This window comes from Homo sapiens, chromosome 13 (assembly GCF_000001405.40).
Source record: "Homo sapiens chromosome 13, GRCh38.p14 Primary Assembly".
Lineage (NCBI taxonomy): Eukaryota > Metazoa > Chordata > Mammalia > Primates > Hominidae > Homo > Homo sapiens.
Genome location: NC_000013.11, coordinates 78,085,629 through 78,110,012, shown reverse-complemented (window position 1 = coordinate 78,110,012; position 24,384 = coordinate 78,085,629). Strand labels below are relative to the sequence as shown.

General features: G+C 36.1%; 1 long non-coding RNA gene across 1 annotated transcript in view, besides 1 other annotated feature; it reads right to left on the bottom strand.

Moving 5' to 3' along the window:
- Positions 1-24,384, bottom strand: part of OBI1-AS1 (OBI1 antisense RNA 1) — a 562,471-nt gene that overhangs the window by 507,313 nt on the left and 30,774 nt on the right. The gene's annotated exons all lie outside the window — the stretch shown is intronic.
- Positions 6,958-8,157: an enhancer, noted in NCBI's record as "P300/CBP strongly-dependent group 1 enhancer chr13:78675991-78677190 (GRCh37/hg19 assembly coordinates)". NCBI's record gives its function as "activates an origin of replication core promoter dependent on BRD2, BRD4, P300/CBP, MED14 and CDK7 cofactors, with strong dependence on P300/CBP, by STARR-seq in HCT116 cells {active_cell/tissue: HCT116}" and the evidence as "EXISTENCE:reporter gene assay evidence [ECO:0000049][PMID:35650434]".

Genomic DNA, 24,384 nt, shown 5'->3' with positions numbered 1-24,384 from the left:
CATTTTGGAGGCTCCTAAAAATAATTAAAAATAGAGCTACCTTATGATCCAGAAATCCTACTGCTAGGTATATACTCAAAAGAAAGGAAATCAGTCTATCAAAGAGATATCTGCACTCCCACGTTTATTGCGGCACTGTTCACCATAGCCAAGATTTGGAAGCAATCTAAGTGTCCATCAACAGACAAATGGATAAAGAAAATGTGGTACATGTACCACAATGGAGTGTTGTTTAGCCATCAAAAATAATGAGATCCTGTCATTTGCAATAAAATGGTTGGAACTGGAGGTCTTTATGTTATGTGAAATAAGCCAGGCTCAGAAAGACAAACTTCATATGTTCACACTTATTTGTGGGAGCTAAAAATTAAAACAGTTAAACTCATGGAGATAAAGAATAGAGTAATGTTTACCAGCATCTGGAAAGGGCAGTACAGGGGAATGGGGGATGGTTAATGGGTACAAAAATATAGTTAGGATTAGTAAGATTTAGTATTTCATAGCGCAGCAGGATGATTACAGTCAAATTAATTTATTTAACATTTTAAAGTAACTAAAGGATTGCCATTGGATTGTTTTTAACACAAAGAAAGAATAAATGCTAGAGGAGATTATACCCCGTTTACCCTGATATGACTATTACACAATGTATGCCTGTATCAAAATATCTCTTGTACCCCATAAGTATATACCTACTTTTGTGAGTATGTACCTATTATATACTCACAAAAATTAAAAATTAAAAAAAAACCTTTCTGAGTAAATGTAATCTGAGCAGACATGTGAATGAAATGTGATCATGATGCTATTTAGATATCTGGAAGATCATTTCAGGCTGGTGGAGCAGCTAGTGGAAACGCTTCAACATGTTTCAGAATCAGAAAAAGGCCAGTGTGGCTAGAGAGCAATAAGCAGAACAGACAGAGGGCAGGTGAGTCAGAACAATTATGGAGGTATCGTGGCTGTAGTATTGACTTTGGATTTTATTCTGAGTGAGATGGGAAGCCATTTAGCGCAACAGAATGAAATTACCTGACTTTTTATAGTAAGCATTTTAACTAATGGATTGAGACTAGACTAAAATGGAAGCAAGTGAGGAAGTGTGGAGACCAGTTAGGGCTACCACACTCACATGGGAAAGGTGAGGGAGACTGGGACTTGGGTGCTAGCAGTTAAGATGGTGAGAAGCAGTTGGGTTTTAGATGTGTTTTGAAAGTAGAGCTGACAGAATTTGCTGATGGATTAGATGTGAGATGTTTGAGAAAGACAAAAAGGCCAAGCATAATTACAAAAAAATTTGGCCTACATTTACAGATATGCAGAGGATTAGGTTTGAGGGGTAAATTCTAGAGGTTGCTAGTGAACATGTTGAGTGTTATCTGAATTCTTGATATCCAAGTGTAGTGGTTGAGAAGGTAGGTCAGAGAATGAGTCAAAGAATGACAAAATTTTGAAGATCATCACCATGATCTTTTTGGGCAAGATTTTCTCCAGTCTTGGGAAAAATATGAAACTGAGGTACAGAAAGATTAACTGACTTTCTGACAAATTCAAAGCTAGAAAACAGCCATTATCCTGAGGAAACTGACGCAGGAACAGAAAACCAAATACCACATTTTCTCACTTATATATGGGAGCTAAATGATGAGAACACATGGACACATAGAGGGGAACAACACACACTGGAGATTTTTGGAGGGTGGAGGTTGGGAGGAGGGAGAGGATTAGGAAAAATAACTAATGGTTACTAGGCTTAATAACTGGGTGATGAAATAATCTGTACAACAAACTCCCATGACACAAGTTTACCTATGTAACAAACCTGCATATGTACCCCTGAACTTAAAATAAAAGTTAAAAAAAAAATGACAGAGTAGAGAATCAAAGAGAGGTGGTCTGGATCCAGAGTCCATACTGTAACAAATGTGCTATGGTATGTTGGCTCCCCATTTATTTGAGCCTCCATTCTTCAAGATTTTGTCAGCTATACTGTTGCTTTAAAATGTGTCAAGGTTCATAACACTTACATTCTATCTCGTTAATATATTTCCCACCATTAATCTTTATTCTATACTTAAATGTTCTCAATTATCACCACCACTCCTTTTACATCAGCATCAGCCTCTCCATCCCTGATTTTTTAAAGATATTTACTTCTTGGTGGGCTTGATTCCATCATCAGTTGTGTTCTTTTTTTCCTTTTTTTTTTTTTTTAGAAAGGCTCACACCCATCTCATGCAGCAAGGTAATGTTTCTTGTAAATGTCTAGCTTTGACGATATATCAAAGAACCATTTGTTTTTTAGTATAACTTCCTTTCCCAGAGAATTTTGCAGACATGGCTCTCCATTGTCTCTTAGTACTGTGTGCTCCTTTCCTTGAATCTTTTCCACTTATATTTCTGTTGGCTGCTCTTTGTCATCAAGTATTTTTGGAGAAAAATTATAGATATTCTTTTCTTCCTTTTATTTGTATGTTGAAATTGTCTGACAATTGCCTTTATATTTCAGTTGACAAGTTATCTACTTACACTATTTTAAGTCACATTTCTTCTTCAAAATTTGGTATCAGTCATCCCAGGGACAGGAATGCAACTGTGGGTGCCAGAAGCAGGGTTGCATTTTAAGCAAGAAGCTGTAATATACCTTTAGACCATTGTGTCAAAATTCCTAAGGGCCTAATAGAGTAGATTGTGCCTTCACCCCATCTGGCAAAGTTGGGGTTAACAGTGAATGTTACTGTGATGCCAAGTGGTCAGGTATATCTCACTAATTCCATACCTATGTAACCCTGCCCCATATGGTTGGGGGTAGACTGATGGAGAAGCCCTTGCTACACTGGTACTGCTACTAGCAATCTGGGCCAGCATAGTGGCCAAACCTAATGTCCTCTCCCAAGGATATTAGAAAAAGTGTGGATAAAAATAAATAACACATGAGGAGAGGGAGAAATAGTAGTTTGGAGTAAAAGAATAAATAATTGGGTTATGCAACCAGAGAAATCCAACATTATGAAGCTCAGAGCAAGAGAATAATATTGTATTTCAGCACAATTATACCAGATGTCCAAGAAAATGAAGCTATATGTTTGCCAAGGCCTAGTTTTTGGAAACTGGCAAGGTTGAACAGCAGTCTACAAACCTGACTGACATCACTAAGAGACATTCTGGTCATACGATATGATGGGAAACTGGACAAGCTGTTAATAACTAAATGAAACTTTAATAATATGCCAATGCCTTGGACTCCTACTTCTCAGGCTACCTGTACCTCAAAAGGTAGACATTATTTGGGAGGGAATTTCTGAGAACTTCTTCCTACTGGGACTTCAAACTCTGTGATGTTGTAGCTCCCAACAGACTGATCGCTGTGTAACCAAATGCCTAGAAATGTATCTGATTAAAATGGGCAAATCGTAACAGCAGCCAGCCCAACATGTCACTGTGTGCTATGCACAAATGTACATCATCCTTGTTTTGTAGATGTAAAACTACCAAGTAAAATAGAGAAATACAATGGGTCCCTGATGGGATTAAAGCAGTGAGCATCACCTGGTGGATCCCTTAGGGAACAGTCCCACCCAGAGACAAGAAACGCTGTGGGAGGCCTCATGGCACACTCAAACCAAAGTACATCAAGGAGTGACTACCTCTCATCTAACTCTAGTACAGAAGACCCAACATCTGGGGGTGTAAGACATGTATCCTAACTGCACTGGTGTGATAAGTGTCAGTCTAGTTATCCTGAGACAAGCTGTGTTTGCTTTTAATGAGGAGTGGCAGTCAGAGGAAAACTAGAATAGAGAGGGTTCTCTTCCACGAGGAGGGCAAATGATGGGAGTTAGCCCTGGAAATATAATGAGGCTTTAGCAAAGTGGGTCACGAAGACTCAATAAATAACGTAGGGTACTGCTAAAACCCAGTACTGGGAAAGGATTTGTGCCTGGACCCAATAGGGCCTCAATTATTTTAATACACATGGAAGCTGAAGTGGGCATAAGTCAGTGGCCCTCTATTCTAGCTCCTGAAGCTCAAGGGGCACACCTATGGGAATCTTATGACTCCCCAAACATGTAAAATTCTTTGGAGGCACTTTTGATTTACACTGATGTCTTGTGACAGTTCTGGCCCCCAGAATAGTTTGCTAAATACTACTCATGACTTCCCCATTGGAGGGAAGAGAGCCCTGTTACATAATAACAACACACAATGGAAACCAGTCTAGATTTGAGCCTGTAAGGTGAGATGAGATGATTGGCTTTGTCCTCAGTTGTAGATTCTGTTGGGAAGGCAAAGCAAATACCTCTGTAATTCTTACTACTTTGTTGTGTATTCTGTAATGAAACTGAATTATACCATGTTCATACTATAATATTGTGTAATACTGGCATTGTTGGTAAGATTCAATTACACTAAGTAATAAGACTTATGACAATACTAATATTGATTATAAAATGTATTGGGAGATTGACTTAAAGCTCCTTCAGGACATACAGCTTATGTATTACCATTTTTATTTTATGCACAATAACTACTAGCCTGAGGAAGAACTGGATCTGGCTAATCATCCTCTGAATTCTGTGTTAAACAGTTCTTCACAAGCTTATCATAAGACACAAATAACAGTAGGTCAAGGGGGGAAAGAATAATAAAATTAACACAAGGATATAAAAAAGTGCATAATGGGTTTACAGGACAAATCAGTTGTTTCTTTAAATCTATCCCCGTACTGGCTTCTCCAAATGTTAGGCATATTTGTGTTGGTGCTATTGCTATATACATGCCATAAATGCTGCACCAAATGTAAATGTTATAACAAATATCATCATTTTTCTGTGGGAGGTTCATGGCCAGAGACCAAGGGGTAGAATTTTCCATTGTTTTCTGGCATTTAATGTTAGCATTAAGAAACCAAACCCCAACATATTTTGTTTTTACACCTTAGACGTGGCTTTCTTTTCTGTTACCTGAAAATTTACTCCTCTATTCTTGAAGTTCAACAAGTTAAACGTGCTATTTTTCAGTGTTGGTTGCTTGATGATGATGATGATAATGTGTTTCCTTAAACACACTACCCTTCATTAAAAACTCTAGATGTCAATATATGTTTCAGAAAAAAGTGTTATTCCATTATTCCTTTCAATACTTTTTCTGTTTTACTTACTGAATTTCCTGTTTCATGGACACTGGTTTTCATTTTTGTTTAATTTTTAATTTTTGTGGAGACATAGGTGTATGTATTTATGAGCTACATGAGATACCTTGATATAGTCATATAATGTGTAAAATCACCTCAGGGTGAATGGGGTATCCATTGCCTCAAGCATTTATCCTTCGTTTTACAAACTATCCAGTTATACCCTTTTAATTATTTTTAAATGTCCAATTACATTTTTATTGATTTATTTTGGACTATCTTTGAAATCAAATTTTATTATTATCTCCATAATTTTTATTGACTTTTTCTTAGCAATTCCTCTAATTATCTCAAGTCTCTCTGGAAAAGTAATTTGATATTCAACCATTTATTCTGTCCCTGGGTGTTATTTTTAAGATACTGTTTCTGTAATAATGTTATTTGCATTCTTAATTCACCAATGATTTCTTGTATTAGTCAACTTATAATAATAACTAAACTCTTTTATTGTGGGCTGAATTTGAAAGGAAATTTCATTTGTTCCTTGTGGTATGTTTCCTTCCAGAACTAGTCTTAAGGGATTTTTATTTTTTAAATGTGGTATATTGTCACAATTTCCACGCCAATTCTTTGCATTTTCTTTCTGGTTGAGATGAGTAACTCATGCAAATCTATTTCTTTCAGCCACTTGGCCCCCTTGAAGGCTCAAATTAGCTGTTTCATCCACTTTTCTGTAACCTGATGGCAGTGGTTAAGTGTCTGTAGGAGGAAAATGGAAGTGGGGAAGAGCTCATTAGAGTCTATGTGCGTCCCTCAGAGGAGGTCACTTCACTTATTTGGGAAAGAATTTTAGTCCTAAAAGAGAATCTACTGGGACTTTGAATTTTTTCTGAAATTCATCAGGAAGTCCTGGAAAATGTCAGTCCTCTCCAGAGGATTTTCTCTGGTCCATTTCTATTGCCTCTGTTGGTGTGGCCTTTTCTCTACTGGATTTTTCCTTGACTCATCCTGGAAGAACTCTCTTATCCTCTCAGCTTCAGCTTGCATGCTCCTTTCTAACCTGGTGGTGGTAGGTACAATTTTAAATAAGAACACTGAGCATTTTATCTCTCCAATTCTGCTACTGTAATATGGGAGTAAAGATAGGAGTCTCCATATTCAGCTCCATGCCAGACAGTTTGCCTCGATCACCACATTTTGAACTTGGTGACATGTGGTTCCTCCTCTTTTCTTGTTTTGTTGTTGGGTGAACTTTGTAACACTTTCACTTATTTATATAATATTTGATTCACTGTATTACCTACTGGGTGAGAGGACTTCTGTACTCTGGCTTTATTCTGCCCTTTTACCCTAAAATCTATAATATTTTAATATAACTCTATTATTATGACACAAGCAATACATATCCATAAACACACACACATGCCACATGTAAGAAAAAAAAGTCTGTAATTCTACCATGAAGTAATCATTATTGTTAAGGTAGAGATAGTATTTTTCTATGATAATATAGATGACTTTTAATGAATATATAATTATATGTTAATAAACTTTCTATGTATGTATATGTTATTTTGACAAATTAATTATATAGTTTTGGTTTGCTATTATTCTCTTCCTTTAAGGTGCTTTTAAAGTATGATTTCATATCAGTAAATATTGTTTCAAATTGGTCCCGTGCATCCCATTTTATGAATCTAATTCTTTTAACCAGTATTACATTGTAGGGTACTTAGATTTTTTCCAATGAGTCCTATTTTAAACAATGTTGAGATGCACATGTTTGTACAGCATACTTTGTGATATTGCTTTTATTTTCTTCAGACAAAGCCCAAGAGGTAAGCGCAAATGATTATTTGAGAAGGAATCCACATTCATACTGAGACTGCAAACAATATTGTCTTTCTTCAATTACAGTTGGCCTAGATGGTTTGGACACTCTGGGAACAACTATCTTTGATTTCTATAACAACTAAATTTTGGAACTAAAAAGACAATACTAGAATATGGTAGTGCACGTGTAGTTATAGCACTGAATACATTTCCAAAAGGATTTATATAGCAATTGATTTGGATCCTAAGCCCTCATGACCAAGATCCTGAATTTTTTAAAAAGCTACTACAGAGCTGGTAAGTGACTAATGTATTTTGCCGGATTAGAAGACATCAAGTTTCAGTCTTATGATTAGCAATTTAAAGTGTTATTAAAAATTCTAAAACTGCATTTAAGTGATGAAAAATTGCTGTGTCATACTGAGACTACTAAGAACAATGTGTGATGCAGCAATAACTCATCCAAAAATAGCAAACTCATGACTTGTTTCTTGTTTTGCCCTTACCACTGAAAACTTCTCTTTCTCTCCAGCACCGTCAGCTACCAGGGATGGAGAGGGAAGGGACAGAGAGAGAAACTCATGAACTCAGAAATTTGCCCTGATGCAGCCATCTGCAAGGTCATCCCACATACACTAACATCTGCTGGGACTTGGATGCAGCTGCTCTGAAGGGAAGTTGGGACAGAAAAGGAAAGGGGCTGTTGCTCAATCTTTACTTTCTTTGGCTGCTAGTGCTGGTTCATCTTGCATAAAGCACTGGCAATGGAACAAGCTTCTATTGACCAAGATATTATCATGTTGAGACCACTCCAGCAATCCCAGAGTCCCCAGTGAGGGTGCAGAATTCACCCCATTCCAGGTTGGACTGAGTCGTTAGTAGAAACAGTCCTAGGGCCACTTTGGGAGGCCGAGGCGGGTGGATCATGAGGTCAGGAGATCGAGACCATCCTGGCTAACAAGGTGAAACCCCGTCTCTACTAAAAATACAAAAAATTAGCCGGGCGCGGTGGCGGGCGCCTGTAGTCCCAGCTACTGGGGAGGCTGAGGCAGGAGAATGGCGTGAACCCGGGAAGCGGAGCTTGCAGTGAGCCGAGATTGCGCCACTGCAGTCCGCAGTCCGGCCTGGGCGACAGAGCGAGACTCCGTCTCAAAAAAAAAAAAAAAAAAAAAAAAAAGAAAAGATCCACTTCTGACCCTGACCAAAGGTTGTTTTTGTTTTTTTCCTACATTGGAACTGAATTTTGCCCACTCCATGTGCTTCTGAGGTCTTGTCTTATATATTTTTTCTTATTCCAAAATTCCAGTCCCAAACAGGAATGCTCCATAAAGTGGCTTATGCAGAGCTTCCTCAGTAAAAACACAAAAAGGGCAGGTGCATTGGTGACTCTCCTGAGAATGTTGTGTGCAATGATACATCTTGATTCTCCTATCACCTCAAATAAAGCCAGGCCTGTTGAATGAACAAAGCAGAAAATCAAGGGACATGGATAAGCAGATAAGTTTCCTTCCAAGAAGAAAGAGTAGTGATCCCTCAGGAATACTTGCCTTTTCCAACCTATGATCTTCCTCTGTTACCCAGGAGAATGCCTTACTTCAGCTCTGGCAGGTGTGAGTAGGGTAGACTTTGCTCAATTAATCTATGAACTTACATTTTATTGAGTTCAGCCAGCCTTGTGCTATATGACTTAGGAAAGTCACAAACATATGCATGCCTCTGTTGTCATCAAATCATTTGAAAAATGCTAAACAAATTTTGGAGGTAGTGTTTGGTGTTTGAGATGCTCTTACATAAAACTGAGGCTAGGCAGCAAATGCCATTTTGCTTTGAAGAGTCCTGGGATTAAACCAAAAATGATAGGTGATCATATTTAATAGAATTAAAACTAAGATACAGCTGGAATCCGATCAGATCACTAAGTAGGAGAGCCTTGCCATGCATATAGAGATGTCATGAACAGAGCAAACAAATAGGATTTATATGTAAGGCCCAAAATAGAGGACAAATGGACAAATACCCCAAGACAGAGGCATTTACTTGGATTGAGATGTTTTTCACTTGCACGATTTTTAAAGCTCTTCACCACAACATCAGTGTTGTATAAACTGCTTATAGCAGACCCAAGGCATGCATTGTGGAACTTATCCAACAGTAGCTGGTTTCTTGCAACCTGACACAACTAATCAGGTAGCCAAACAGTTGGGTGTGGTGGCCAGGTTGACAGAGTTTCTGCCATCTTTCACATGTGGCTTCCATGTTCTCTGCCATCAGCATTCCAGAGGGCCAGGAACACGGAAGAGCACATGTGGGAGGATTTTAATGAGTCAGGCCTGAAATGGCACATGCCACTCCCTCTCACATTTTATTGGCCAACAGAGTCTCAGACAGAACTGGGAAACAGGGTTCAGCTGACGCTTAGACAGAAAAGGAGAACATATGTTTTGGTGAGCAGGCTCTTTCTCTAGGGTATTTGTTTAATCATATAAAGGTTAATAAAGATTCTTCCACACAGCGCTAATACAGACGAGATGATAATGGAAAACACTTGCTGAATGTTCATGATGTACTTGGCACTGTTTTGTGAACTGTATAGGTATAAATTACATCAATCCTCACCAATTTCTGAGGTATATAATGCAATTATTTCCATGTCCATACAGATGAGGCAACAAAGACTCAGAAAAAATTAAGCAAGTTTTTCAAGATCACATAGCCAGCAAGTGGCAGAGCAAGGAACTCAGTTAGATCCACTCTGGACCTACACCTCTAGGCAGAGAGGTAGATCAGGACGTCTGCCTGACTGCAGAGGCTGGCATGGAATGTTTAGATGTGAGTTCAAGTTTACGACCAGACAGCCTGATACCCTGAGTCTGTGATGTGGTCTAAATACTCTTTACCTACAATGTCAAAAATCTCCTGGACCAGAACTCGATGTAATGGGCTTATTATTTACTTAAGCCTCTTTAGTTTTGGGGAATTTTTATTTGTTTTTAAATTTATTTTTATTATATATATTTAAGGTACATAACATGGTGTTTGGATATACATATATATGTATATCAGTATTTTGTTTTTGTTCTGGTTTTGATTATTATTTTTTTAACCAGCCACATGGTTTACAATGTGCAGTTTCTATAAACACATAATTGTAAAAATTAATTTTATTGTTAAAGATCACTAGTTAAGAGCCACACAGTAAATTGTTCTCAGAATTTAGTCCTAGCATAAAGTTTCTCTGTCCTAATGATCTACTAGTAGTATTCACTTTTATTTCACTGTAGAAGTTAATATAATCCATCACAGTGTCCTTTTTGCTAAATATACAAGAAAGCTGAGATTATTTTTTCAATTTTACCAACCCACTCCCCCAAAAGACTTTGATTTTTTAAAAAGTAATACTTTCTTTCCCATTTTCCTCTGCCTTTATTATACAACTTGTGGTTTTTATCTTTATTTTAATGGACTGATTCTGTGTGAACTCTTTATAGATGACTTCAATCTATTTCCAGAAGGAAATTGGTTAAGATAGTAGGGAACTGAGACTTGAGATTTGAAGGCCTTTAAGAGTTTGGCCAAATTATATACTATAAATCTTAAAGAAAATTAAAGGGTATTTCCTAGGTTTCCTTCAAGGGTTTTCACAGTTTTAGGTTTTGCATTTAAGTCTTAATCCATCTTGGGTTGATTTTTGTATATGGTATAAGGAAGGGGTTCAATTTCAATCTTCTGCATATGGCTAGCCAGTTATCCTAGCACTGTTTATTAAATAGAAAGTCCTTTTTCCATTGCTTGTTTTTGTCAACTTTGTCAGATATCAGATGGTTGCAGGTGTGCAGCTTTATTTCTGGGCTTTCTATTCTGTTCCATTCATCCATGTGTCTGTTTTTGTACCAGTACCATGCTATTTTGGTTACTATAGCCTTGTAGTATAGTTTCAACTCTGGTAATGTAATGTCTCCAGGTTTTTTCTTCTTGCTTAGGATTTCTTTGGCTATTCAGGGTCTTTTTTTGGTTCTATATGAATTTTAGAATAGTTTTTTTTTTCTAATTCTATAAAGAATGTCATTGGTAGTTTGAAAGGAATAGCATTGAATCTGTAAATTGCTTTGGGCAGTATGGCCATTTTAACAATATTGGTTCTTTCTATTCATGAGCATGAAATATTTTTCTGCTTGTTTATGTCATCTCTGATTTCTTTCAGCAGTGTTGTGTTATTCTCATTGTAGAGGTCTTTCATCTCCTTGGTTAATATATTCCTAGGTATTTTTTATTGTTGTTGTGGCTGTTGTGAATGGGATTGCATTCTTGATTTGGCATCTAGCTTGGATGTTGTTGGTGTATAGAAATACTACTGATTTGTGTACATTTCTTTTGTATCCTCAAACTTTGCTGAAGTTGTTCATCAGATCGAGCAGCTTTTGGGCAGAGACTATGGGATTTTCTAGGTATAAAATCATATCATCTGCAAACAGAGATAGTTTGACTTCCTCTCTTCCCATTTGGATGCTTTTTATTTCTTTCTCTTCCCTGATTGGTCTGGCTAGGACTATGTTGAATAGGAGTGGTGAGAGAGGGCATTCTTGTCCTGTTCCAGTTCACAAAGGAAATGCCTGCAGCTTTTGCCTGTTCAGCATGATGTTATCTTTGGGTTTTTCATAAACGGTTCTTATTATTTTGAGAGTTGTTCATTCAATGGCTAGTTTGTTGACGGTTTTTAACATGAGAGGATACTGAACATTATCAAAAGCCTTTTCTGCATCTATTGAGACAATTAGGTGGCTTTTGTTTTTAGTTCTGTTTATGTGATGAGTCACATTTATTGATTTATTGTTTGCATATGTTGAATCAAACTTGCATCCCAGAGATAAACTCTGCTTGATCATGGTAGATTAGCTTTTTGATATGCTGCTGGATTTGGTTTGTTAGTATTTTGTTGAGGATTTTTGCATCTATGTTCATCAAGAATATTGGCCTGAAGTTTACATTTGTTGTGTGTCTCTGCCAGGTTTTGGTATTATAATAACGCTGGCCTCATAGAATGAACTAGGGATGAGTCCCTCCTCTTCAATGTTTTGGAATAGTTTCAGTAGGAATGGTACCAGCTCTCTTTATACGTCTGGTAGAATTTGGCCATGAATTCTTCTGGTCCTGGGCTTTTACTGGTTTGAAGGCTTTTTATTACTGATTCAATTTCAAGAACACGTTATTGTGCTGTTCAAGATTTCAATTTCTTCTGGGTTTAATCTTAGGAGGTTGTACGTTATCATAAATTTATCCATTTCTTGTAGGTTTTCTAGTTTGTGTGCGTAGAGGTGTTCATAATAGTCTCTGAGGGTGTTTTGTATTTCTGTAGGATCAGTGGTAATATCCTCTTTGTCATTTCTTATTGTGCTTATTTTGATATCTCTTTGTTTATTTCTCTAGGTAGCAGTCTATCAATCTTATTTATTCTTTCAAAGAACAAAGTTCTGGTTTCATTGATCTTTTGTATGCTTTTTCACATCTCAATTTTATTCTGTTCAGCTGTGATTTTGGTTATTTTTTGTCTTCTGCTAGCTTTGAGGTTGGTTTGTTCTTGTTTTTCTAGTTCCTCTAGGTTTAATATTAGGTTGTTAGTTTGAAATCTTTCTAAATTTTTGATGTGGACACTTAGCACCATAGTTTCTTTTTAACACTGCTTTAGCTGTGTCCCAGATTTATATTTGCTCTCATTCATTTCAAAGAATTTTCAGATTTCTGCCTTAATTTTATTGTCTACCCAGAGGTCTTGTTTAATTTCCATGTAAATGTGTGATTCTGAGCAATCTCCTTACTATTGATTTCTACTTTTATAGTGCTGTGGTCTGAGTGTATGGTTGGTGTGATTTCAGTGTTTTTGAATTTGCTGAAAATTGTTTTATGACAAATTATGCGGTTGCTCTTAGAGTATATACCATGCGCAGATGAGAAGAATGTATATTCTATTGGTTTTGGGGGAGAGTTCTGTAGATGTCTGTTAGGTCCACTTGTTCAAATGTCAAGTTCAGTTCCTGCCTATCTTTGTTAGTTTTCTGCCTTGATGATCTGTCTTATACTGTGTCTGACAGTTTTTTAAATTACATTTTTAAATTTTAGTATAAGTCTAGATTCACCTATAATTGTAAGAAATTACCCAGAAAGATCCCCTGAAACCGTTACCCTGTTTTTTTCCAAAAGTAAGAAATTGCAAAACTATATTACAATATCATAACTAGGGTATTAACGCTGATACAGTTCAAGTACAGAACATTTTCATCATCACAAAGATCTTTCATTGTATTATTCAGGATCTCCAGAGAAGCAGAACCAATGTGATAAATAGACAGACAGATTATCATCTGTCTGGAAAAATATAGAGATAAGGAAAGATCTATTATAGAAATTGGCTCAGGCAATTGTGGAGGCTGAGACATCCTACAATATGCCATCTGCAAATCGGAGAACCAGGAAAGCTGGTGGGGCAATTCAGTTCAAAGTGAGAAAACCTGAGAACCAAGGGTAATGATGACATAAGTCCCAGAATATGAAGGCCAGAGAACCAGAAGCTATGATATCTAAGGGCAAGAGAAGAGGGATATCCCCCAGCTCAAGAGAGTAAGAGAAGTTTTCCTTCCTTCTCCTTTTTGTTCTATCAGGGCCCTCAATGAATCAGATGGTGCCTACCCACACTGCTAATGATGCATCTTCTTTACTCAGTCTACTCTTTCAAATGATATATTTTTTTCCTGAAACACTCTCAGAGATATACTCAGAAATAATGTTTTACCAGCTATCTAGGCAAGTCTTTTTTTTTATTATTATTATACTTTAAGTTTTAGGGTACATGTGCACATTGTGCAGGTTAGTTACATATGTATACATGTGCCATGCTGGTGCGCTGCACCCATTAACTCGTCATCTAGCATTAGGTATATCTCCCAATGCTATCCCTCCCCCCTCCCCCCACCCCACCACAGTCCCCAGAGTGTGATATTCCCCTTTCTGTGTCCATGTGATCTCATTGTTCAACTCCCACCTATGAGTGAGAATATGCGGTGTTTGGTTTTTTGTTCTTGTGATAGTTCACTGAGAATGATGATTTCCAATTTCATCCATGTCTCTACAAAGGACATGAACTCATCATTTTTTATGGCTGCATAGTATTCCATGGTGTATATGTGCCACATTTTCTTAATCCAGTCTATCATTGTTGGACATTTGGGTTGGTTCCAAGTCTTTGCTATTGTGAATAATGCCGCAGTAAACATAAGTGTGCATGTGTCTTTATAGCAGCATGATTTATAGTCATTTGGGTATATACCCAGTAATGGGATGGCTGGGTCAAATGGTATTTCTAGTTCTAGATCCCTGAGGAATCGCCACACTGACTTCCACAATGGTTGAACTAGTTTACAGTCCCACCAACAGTGTAAAAGTGTTCCTATTTCTCCACATGCTCTCCAGCACCTGTTGTTTCCTGACTTTTTAATGATTGCCATTCTAACTGGTGTGAGATGGTATCTCATAGTGGTTTTGATTTGCATTTCTCTGATGGCCAGTGATGGTGAGCATTTTTTCATGTGTTTTTTGGCTGCATAAATGTCTTCTTTTGAGAAGTGTCTTTTCAGGTTCTTTGCCCACATTTTGATGGGGTTGTTTGTTTTCTTCTTGTAAATTTGTTTGAGTTCATTGTAGATTCTGGATATTAGCCCTTTGTCAGATGAGTAGGTTGCGAAAATTTTCTCCCATTTTGTAGGTTGCCTGTTCACTCTGATGGTAGTTTCTTTTGCTGTGCAGAAGCTCTTTAGTTTAATTAGATCCCATTTGTCAATTTTGTCTTTTGTTGCCATTGCTTTTGGTGTTTTGGACATGAAGTCCTTGCCCATGCCTATGTCCTGAATGGTAATGCCTAGGTTTTCTTCTAGGGTTTTTATGGTTTTAGGTCTAACGTTTAAATCTTTAATCCATCTTGAATTGATTTTTGTATAAGATGTAAGGAAGGGATCCAGTTTCAGCTTCCTACATATGGCTAGCCAGTTTTCCCAGCACCATTTATTAAATAGGGAATCCTTTCCCCATTGCTTGTTTTTCTCAGGTTTGTCAAAGATCAGATAGTTGTAGTTGGCACAAAAAGTTAGCCATTGCATCTCTCTTGCCCTTTTATAGCCACACCCACTTTCCTCTGCTCCGCCCTTTGCACTCCTTGGGCCCTGGCAACCACTAATGAGTTCTTCATTTCAATACTGTGTCATTTCAATAACATTTTAAATGGATTCATATATAAGAGGCAGAAAAAAAAACCCAGGAATTCACCACTTTGTCACTGCTTGGATCCCAAGAGCCCTAGCTGGTCTCTTCATTTTTGTTTTATATATAATGTCCAAGGTTTTTAGTTTTACTTAATGGAAGGGATAGGAAAAATATGTTTACTCCAGTTTTTTGGAAGTATCTTGATGTACTTTTAAACATGGATTAATATTTTCTATAGGATCAATGTAGGCTTAATATATTATCATTTTCTTCTATTTCATTAATTCATGCCCTATCAAGATTTAACATAGAGAGAAGTGTATTATTTTTAACATCAAGATGAACCATATGTTTTCAAAGCCCCACAAAAACCCCAAGTGTATTGGCGCTCCATTTGCATCAACTTTAAAATTTGTATTCAAATGAAGCTTTGGTGGGATAGTTAATTTTCTTTGAAGGAAACTCTCTTTTGTAGTAAAAATGTGCTAGTTCAGTGAATCCAAAACACTGGTGAACTCAAAACACTGTGGATACATTTACTTGGAAGATTCTTTTCACTAGAACACTGAACATGAAGAACGTACCTTATTATGTCAGATATTAGTAAGTTTCCCTTTCAAGCAACCTTCTATAATTAGATAATAGCTGGAGATTGTTAAAGTAAAATTAACTTAACAAAAGATATTTACTTCAAACTTTACTTCCTCTGCCTTAATTTAAGCTATATTTAAAGTTAGGAGTTACCTTTTTATTTTTATTTTTATTTTATTTTATTATTATTATTTTTTAAGACAGAGTCTCACTCTGTCACTCAGGCTGGAGTGCAGTGGCACGATCTCTGCTCACTGCAACCTCCGCCTCCCAGGTTCAGGGGATTCTCCTGCCTCAGCCTCCCGAGTAGCTGGGTGCCCCCCACCACATCTGACTAATTTTTGTATGTTTAGTAGAGGTTGGGTTTCACCATGTTGGCAAGGCTGGTCTCAAACTCCTAACCTCAAATGATCCAACCATCTCAGCCTGCCAAAGTGCTGGGATTACAGGCATGAGCCACTGCACCCAGCCAGGAGTTACCTATTTTAGGCAAGCACAGTAAGGAGATAATTAAAACCTTTAGAGTCCAGTTATTAAAGATTTACAACTACTTAAGAACTGCACCAACTCTTGAGGATAATGCACAATGAAGAATAGAAGAAAAATATGAAGAGTAATTAAGAATAAGGTCATAGAAGACAATCTCTGGAGTAATGCCTGCATTTAGTACTATTCATGAAAAAAACAGGAAGCATATATTTGGGCATGAATTTAACTACTAGGAAACCACAGTCCTATTTATTCTGAAAGCCTATATTTCAACATTTTCTTATCTAAAAGTAAAATTAATTTAGCATTTTAATTGAACATTCTCCCTCATCTAAATACCATTTTTTCTCTTAGTGTTCAATAGCTATATGCTATGAAACTATATTAGCATATTTTTGTGAATCTCTAAAATATATCTGAAATCTCAAACCTCATTTTTACTTTTGATACTATTCAAAAGTAGTCTATATTTTTGTAGCTAATTAAAACTAACATAAGAAATCACTACAATTAGAGTACATCCTACATAGGTAATTCACTTATCCGTTCATTTATTTAACATTTATTTACTGGTCTCCTTTTATATGCCAGGAGCTGTGCCGCATGTTAAAATGTTAAAACACCAAATAACTAACAATTCTTGTCCCTGTAGAATTCATGTAACAAGATGTGAAGAAACCCTACATAACATAATTTAGAAATACAATTATAATTTATGGAAATGAAACTTAAGACTGCCTCATTCGTCTGTTGTTCAGTTATTTTCCTGAATGAAATAGACAATTGCAGTGCCTTTAGTTTATTTTGCTGTGTCAGTGTAGCCCTAAATTTATAACTAAGGTCAAGTCCTCCTAAAAACAACGTAAGCAACAGTGTTGTTTGGTGCCTTAGCATTGTGGTTGACATCCCTTTTGATGTGCCACAAGATATGTAAACAGTAGAAAATACATATGGTATATCTTCCTGACAAACAAATTTTACTGCAAAATTTTTAGGGGAATAGTTATATAATTGTATCAATAACTAATTTTAGTGTTATATTTATATTAAAACTCATATGATTATATTAGGAAGGCAAATTTTATATAAATTTTTAAAATTAAAAAATGAGACAAACATATCTTTAGTTGTTCAGTCGACAGCTTCATCTTCTGCCTATTCTTAGACATTTTTGTTTCAATGAAAAAGTTTGCATAGGGTACCTCTAGGTTATTTTCCTCTGTTGCAATTACTCTATTAGAATCAAAACCATCAGAAAATATGGCTTGTGATAATTTTTAATCCACAGACCTGAATCTCAGAGACTTTCATAGCCTCCCCCACTTCTTCCACTCACTCTTATGGGACTAAAGTGCACAAATACAGTCATGACCATTATGCCTGTAAGCAGTGTGAGAAGATGATTTAATGAACCATTTGTCATCACTTATTAATATGTTATTAAATCTGCTCTAGAGTTTTATCAGAAACTTTGTCATGATAAACTAAATAAAATAATTTAGATATGTGTGATCCTCCTCCTTTATATGATCTGCTTCACTTATTTTGCTTGTGATTTAATCAAAAAGCTCTAGACTGCATTGCTGGACATTTTCCATAGCCGTCCAAGTCCATTTCTTTGCAATGAAACTTTTGCAAATCTCAGTTCTTTAAGAAAGAAGTAACACCAGTGCTACAAGCTCTACAGATTTGTAATGTTTAAAAATGTAATCATATGAGCTAAAGCATGCCAGAAGATAGTACAGAAAAGGGAAACAGAAAATTATAAAACTTTCATGTTAATATCACCCTTAGGCTGGTTGTAAAGGGAAAAGAGAAATAGCACAAACTATGTACTACACATAGCCAAAACGGGATAATATAAGTTAAAGACATTAATAAGTCTTTTCTTCTTAAAATGTACTTGTAGCCAAGTTTCAATGCATGAATCTTTGAAGAATATAACTTCCCACAAATTACTGATTTTCAAAAGTGCATTATTAAGGAATTATCTAAAAGATCTTTTTAAAAAATATGGGTACATAGTAGGTATATATATTTATGAGTTACATGAACTATTTTGATACAGGCATGCAATGTGTAATAATCACATGAACGTAAATGGGGTCTCCATTTTCTCAAGCACTTATCCTTTGTGTTACAAACAATCCAATTATACTCTTTCAGGTATTTTTAAATGTACAATTAAATTACTTTTGGCTATAGTCACCCTGTTGTGCTAGCAAATAAAACGTCTTCTTGATTCTTTCTATTTTTTTGGAACCATTAATCACCTCCACCTTTCCTCCAACCCCCATTCTCACTACTCTTCCCAGTCTCTGGTAACCATTGTTTTACTATTTCCATGGGCTCAATTTTTTTTTTTTTTTTAGATTTTTAGCTTCCACAAATAATTGTGAACATGTGATGTTTGTCCTTCTGTGCCTGGCTTACTTCACTTAACACCATGACCTTCAGTTTCATCCATGTTGTTGCAAATGACAGGATCTCTTTCTTTTTTATGGCTAAATAGTACTCCATTGTGTATATGTACCACATTTTCTTTATTCATTCATCTGTTGATGGACACTCAGGTTGCACCAAAATCTTGGCTATTGTGAATAATGCTGCAATAAACGTGGGAGTGCAAGTATCTATTAGATATACTGATTTTCTTTCTTTAGAGTAAATACCTAGCTGTGGGATTGCTGGATCACATGGTAGCTCTATTTTTAATTTTTTTGAGGAACCTCCAAACTGTTCTCTGTAGTTATTGTGCTAATTTACATTCTTACCAACAGTGTACCAGGGTTCTTTTTTTCTCCACATCCTTGCCAGCATTTGTTACTGCCTGTCTTTTCGATAAAAGCCATTTTAACTAGGGCGAGATGATATCTCCTTGTAGTTTTGATTTGCATTTATCTAATGGTCAGTGATGCTGAGCACCTTTTCATACACCTGTTCACCATTTGTATGTCTTCTTTTTAAATGTCTATTCAGATCTTTTGCTCATTTTTAAACTAGGTTATTAGATTTTTTTCATATAAAATTGTTGGAGCTCCTTATATATTCTGGTTACTAAACCCTTGTCAGATAGATACTTTGCAAATATTTTATCTTCTTCTGTAGGTCTTCTCTTCACTTTGTTGATTGTTTCCTTTGCTGTGCAGAACTTTTTAGCTTGATGTGATCCCATTTGTCCATTTTTTATTTGCTCACCTGTGCTTGTAGGATACTACTTAAGAAATCTTTGCCTAGTCCAATGTCCTGGAGAGTTTCCCCAATGTTTCCTTGTAGTAGTTTCATAGGTTTAGGTCATAGATTTAAGTCTTGAATCCATTTTGATTTGGTTTGTGTGTAGGGTGAGAGATGGGGGTCTAGTTTCTTTCTTCTGCATATAAATATCCAATTTTCCCACCACAATATTTTGAAGAGACCACCCTTTCCCCAGTGTATGTTCTTGGCACCCTTATCAAAAGTGAGTTTATTACAGATGTATGGACTTATTTCTGGGTCCTCTATTCTATTCCACTGGTCTATGTGTCTGTTTTTATGCCAGTACCATGCCAGTATACTATAACTCTCTAGTATAATTTGAAGACAGGTAATATGATTCCTCCAGTTTTATTCTTTTTGTTTAGGACATCTTTGACGACTCTGGGTCTTGTGTGATTCTATGTAAATTTTGGGACTTTTTTCTATTTCTGTGAAGTATGTCATTGGTATTTTGGTCAGAATTAAATTAAATCTGTAGATTGATTCTTCCAATTCATGAACATAGAATGTCTTTCCGATTTTTGTGTGTCCTCTTCAGTTGTTTTCATCAATGTTTTATAGTTTTCATTGTAGAGATATTTCATTTCTTTGGTTAATTTCAAGGTATTTTATTTTATTTTATTTGTAGCTATTTTAAATGGAATTACTTTTTTTATTTCTTTTTTAGATTGTTCACTCTTAGCATATAGAAATGCTACTGATTTTTGTATGTTGATTTTTGTATCCTGCAACTTTACTGAATTTGTTTTATCAGTTCTAGTAGTTTTTTTGGTGGAGTGTTTAGGTTTTTCCAATTATAAAATCATGTCATCTGCAAACAAGGATAATTTAACTTCTTTCTTTCCAATTTAGATGTCCTTTATTTCTCCTCTTGTCTGATTGCTCTAGCTAGGACTTCCAATACTATGTTGAATAACAGTGGTGACAGTGGGCATCCTTGTAGTGTTCCAGATCTTAGAGGAAAAGCTTTCAGTTTTTCCCCATTCAGTATTTGTCCCCATTCAGTATTTGTCTAAAGAAATTTTAGAGAATGTAATATTGTCACCTGGTTTTATAAAACTAGAATGGCATCATTACATTGAAGGTAATGAAAAAAATAAACTATAGGATAATCTTCAATTGGTTAATCAATGACTGTTAAAAATGGGGTAAGGAAACTATATTTAAGTAGTACTTATAATAAGTATAGCAGTTATACATAGTATTATATATACTTACATACAGTATTTGTATTTCTATGAGCATACATTTAGAACTTATATGTGTATATAGTACTTACATATAGACTTACACATTACGTTAAGAAGAAACAAGGAAGATATAAAAGTACCTAAGTTGAATTTCCAGACAGGAAAAATATGCCTAAGGAACATATGAAAATTATTTTATAAATTTCTTGGCCTGAAGTATGAAGATTTTGTTGATTTAAAAGGAGATGTCCTTAAAATTATTTAGCCAAAGTATGTTATAAAGACAGATTTTATTTTTCTGTTCTCTACCTTTTCTCCTACCACCCTTCCTTCCCTGCAAAGGAATTGTTTCAGAAGCTGATTAAAACCTCATCTGGGTGAAGGAAAGTCCAGAAGTTCTCTGTGGATTCGCAGTGGGGACCGGTGCTGCCCACAGAGGTTCTCTGGCCTCTGCAGTTAGAGTGTCGCTGGTTGTCTTGCTCACTGCTCATGTTCTGGCATCTCCTTCCCTTGGAAGCATCTATTCACACTGTTTCCCTAGATATATAGTATAATGGCTTCCCAGGAAGATAACTTGTGGGAGACAAGAACAGAAGCATCAAATAATTGTTTTCAAAATACTGTCTCAGTCATGGTAAAATCTGATTGTAGAGTCTCCATAACCAACTCTTTAATTTAGGAGTATGCCAGAAGCAAAGTTTGTAAACTGATCACATAGGAGTCTACCATCTCCGGTGAAGGGCTAGAGCCAAATCTTCCATTTTGCTTCTGGCAGTGTACAAAATGCATCATGTGGGAAAGTCGCGTTGTTGATTATCAAATAGCTACAATCAAATCCTCTGTTAGTTGTAAAGAATGAGATAAAGTAACATTTTGTTTGTTTACTTATCAGAAATACCTTTATCTTGCCAAATAAATATAATTTTGTTTTAATTGGTTTAAATTCAAGTTCATGCTCTTAGCATTGATATTTCCTTGGCTGAAAGATGCCATCTCTTCCAAAGTTCACATGTTACTTTAACAAATAACAGAAGATAATTCTGGAGAATTCTGCCCTAAAATGTGAGATCCCCAGGGACACTGAACTGCATTTTACTTTTAAGTTTTCTTTTAACAGCATCACACATTCTGACCCGAGATTGTCCTATTGAAGTATGTCTAAGAGAAAAATAAATATTTATGCAAATTTTTAGTTATTTACATTTTATGATAGAAATACTTATGGGATAGGCTTTTGAAGAAAGAACTAGTTTGATGCATTTTGGCAACATCAATTGAGATTTGAGTATAATGAACAAGTTTGTCAGTTTAGGAACTGTTTCACATGGGCAAAACAAAGATTATCTTGTATTTTATAGTTAAGTACAAATGACACAGAGAGTTTCTTTATTTCTCATAAGTCAATGATAAACATTAAAGTAGAATTTGGTGTAAATATTTCAAAAGGGTTAATATTGGCCATGAAACAGTTTTTGCATCTCAGAATGTTTTATAAATTAATGCTTTTATGGCTAAATCTCATTAGCTGAAGATTAACTTAAGATTAAAGAAATGACTGATAAATGACCTCTGTTTCACTCAGGCAAATTGTATTCTTCAGACTTAACTATTCATATAGATCATGAAAATGACCATGAAATATACCTAAATGAGCATAAAAATAAAGTTTAAACAAACTATCAGCAAAATAAGTCCCACAAGACTGCTTCCCAAGTAAGTTAAATTCAACTAACATTTATAGAGCACTTACAAATTGCAAAGCATTGTTCAAAATGTACAGAGGACACAGAGATGACAAAAGTATATTTCCTGCCACCAAGACCCTTAGAATCTATTGAGTAAAACAGGCATAGAAATTATTAACTCTAATACAGTGTAAATATAATAAAATTACACAATAAAACTATTTGTTGAGAGCATTATATGTATAAGCTATTTTAATAAGTGTTTCTCATTAGTTAACATACTTGAGCTCCCCAAATCGTAAGAAATATGCACTCCTAGTAATCCTGTTTTCCAGATGGGGATACTGAGGCTTAGAGTTAAATGAACAAAGGTCAGAAAAGTCAGAGGTAGGATCTGAATCGAAGAGAGTTTGTTGTGATATGAACAAACTGCCACAAGAAGCAAGAATAGTAAAAAGAGAAAATAATAGGATCCAGAATCTAAATATACAGATTTGAGTTTAAATTGTGTCTTTGTTTTTAACTAGCTGCATGGACTGAGTAAATCCTCAAACATGTCTTTCCAAGCCTTACTGTCTATAATTTTGAAGTGGTGGTTATATTCATCGTTATATAGGGCTATTGTGGGGCTTATATGGTTATTTATAACCAACCAAGTTTAGCATACTACACATGGCCCCTCCCCCAAAATTATAATCATTTTTCTTTTAAAAATGGTCTTACATCAGTTAGAAATGGAAATAATCTCAAAATAACAGTGGCTCAAACACTCAAATGGTCATTTTCTTACAGAAAAGAAGACAAGGGTTAGGAAGTCCAGGATTGGTGTGGCAGCTCCATGAAGTCACTAGATGCCCAGACTCCTCTATCTTTCTCCTCTGCCATTTTTGGTGTGTTGTTTCCATACTCAAGATAACCACATGTTCTAGGGTGGATGCTGGAGTTTCAACCATCTCACCCACATTCCAGAGAGCAAAAAGAATAGAAGTCAAAATGAGTTTGTTTCTAAGTGTCTTTTAAAGGGCCTTCTTCAAGTCTCTCACAACACATCTACCCTCACAGGTCTAAATGGTTAGGTACAACAGCCCTGAGCAGCCTTGGAATTGTTATCTTTATTCCAAGTGGCCCTATGGCCAGCTAAAAATTGGCATTCTATTAGTAAGGTGGAAGATAAGGAGTACTGGATTGGCAATTGGTACTCTGTATCATGACTTTGATAAGAACATGTTAACCAAAGATAAAATAAAAGATTGAGAAAAGAAAACACTAGATCCAATTATTTCTTTCTTATATGAGAACACACTAACACACCCTCATGCAAAGAAAAGAGTGTGCTATCTTATAGTCATGGAAAATAGAGAAGTCACGGAGCCTGACATTGACCTTTGTATAAACAAATTATAACACCTGCCCCCCAAAGATGGCATCAGAGATAGAATTTCCTCATGGAATACGATAGTTGACATTCCCACAACATTGACTAAGTGAATTGGGTGACAGTTAGTTTTGGAGTATACTTTTTAAGCAATTACAGAAAAGAAAGTAAAATGAGAGTGAGTCAGCAGGTTTTCAGTGGCCAACTCGGGTGGAATTAAACACAAAAAGGAGAAAACTTCTGCATTCTATTTGCTGTAGTTAATTGTTTTCTCACTCTTAACACTCTTGCCTGTTCAACCTAGGTGTTGCATGCTCTAATAAAATTGAAAAATAAGCTGACACGTTCACCTTAAGGAAAAGGGGAAGGGAGGTGGGAAGGAGAGGGAAAGGAAGGGAAATGATCATTTGCAGGCATTATCATTCAAGGCTTTCAACTAAGCCTCTTCCCTGGGAAGCATCAGAGGTCATTTCAGGGAGCCGCTACAGGGGGAACACACAGGACAGGAAGGTCTGCGTGGAAGTCTCACTTAGCCTACAATCCACCACTTCCATTCTCACCCCCACCTCCCAACCTTTGCGGCCG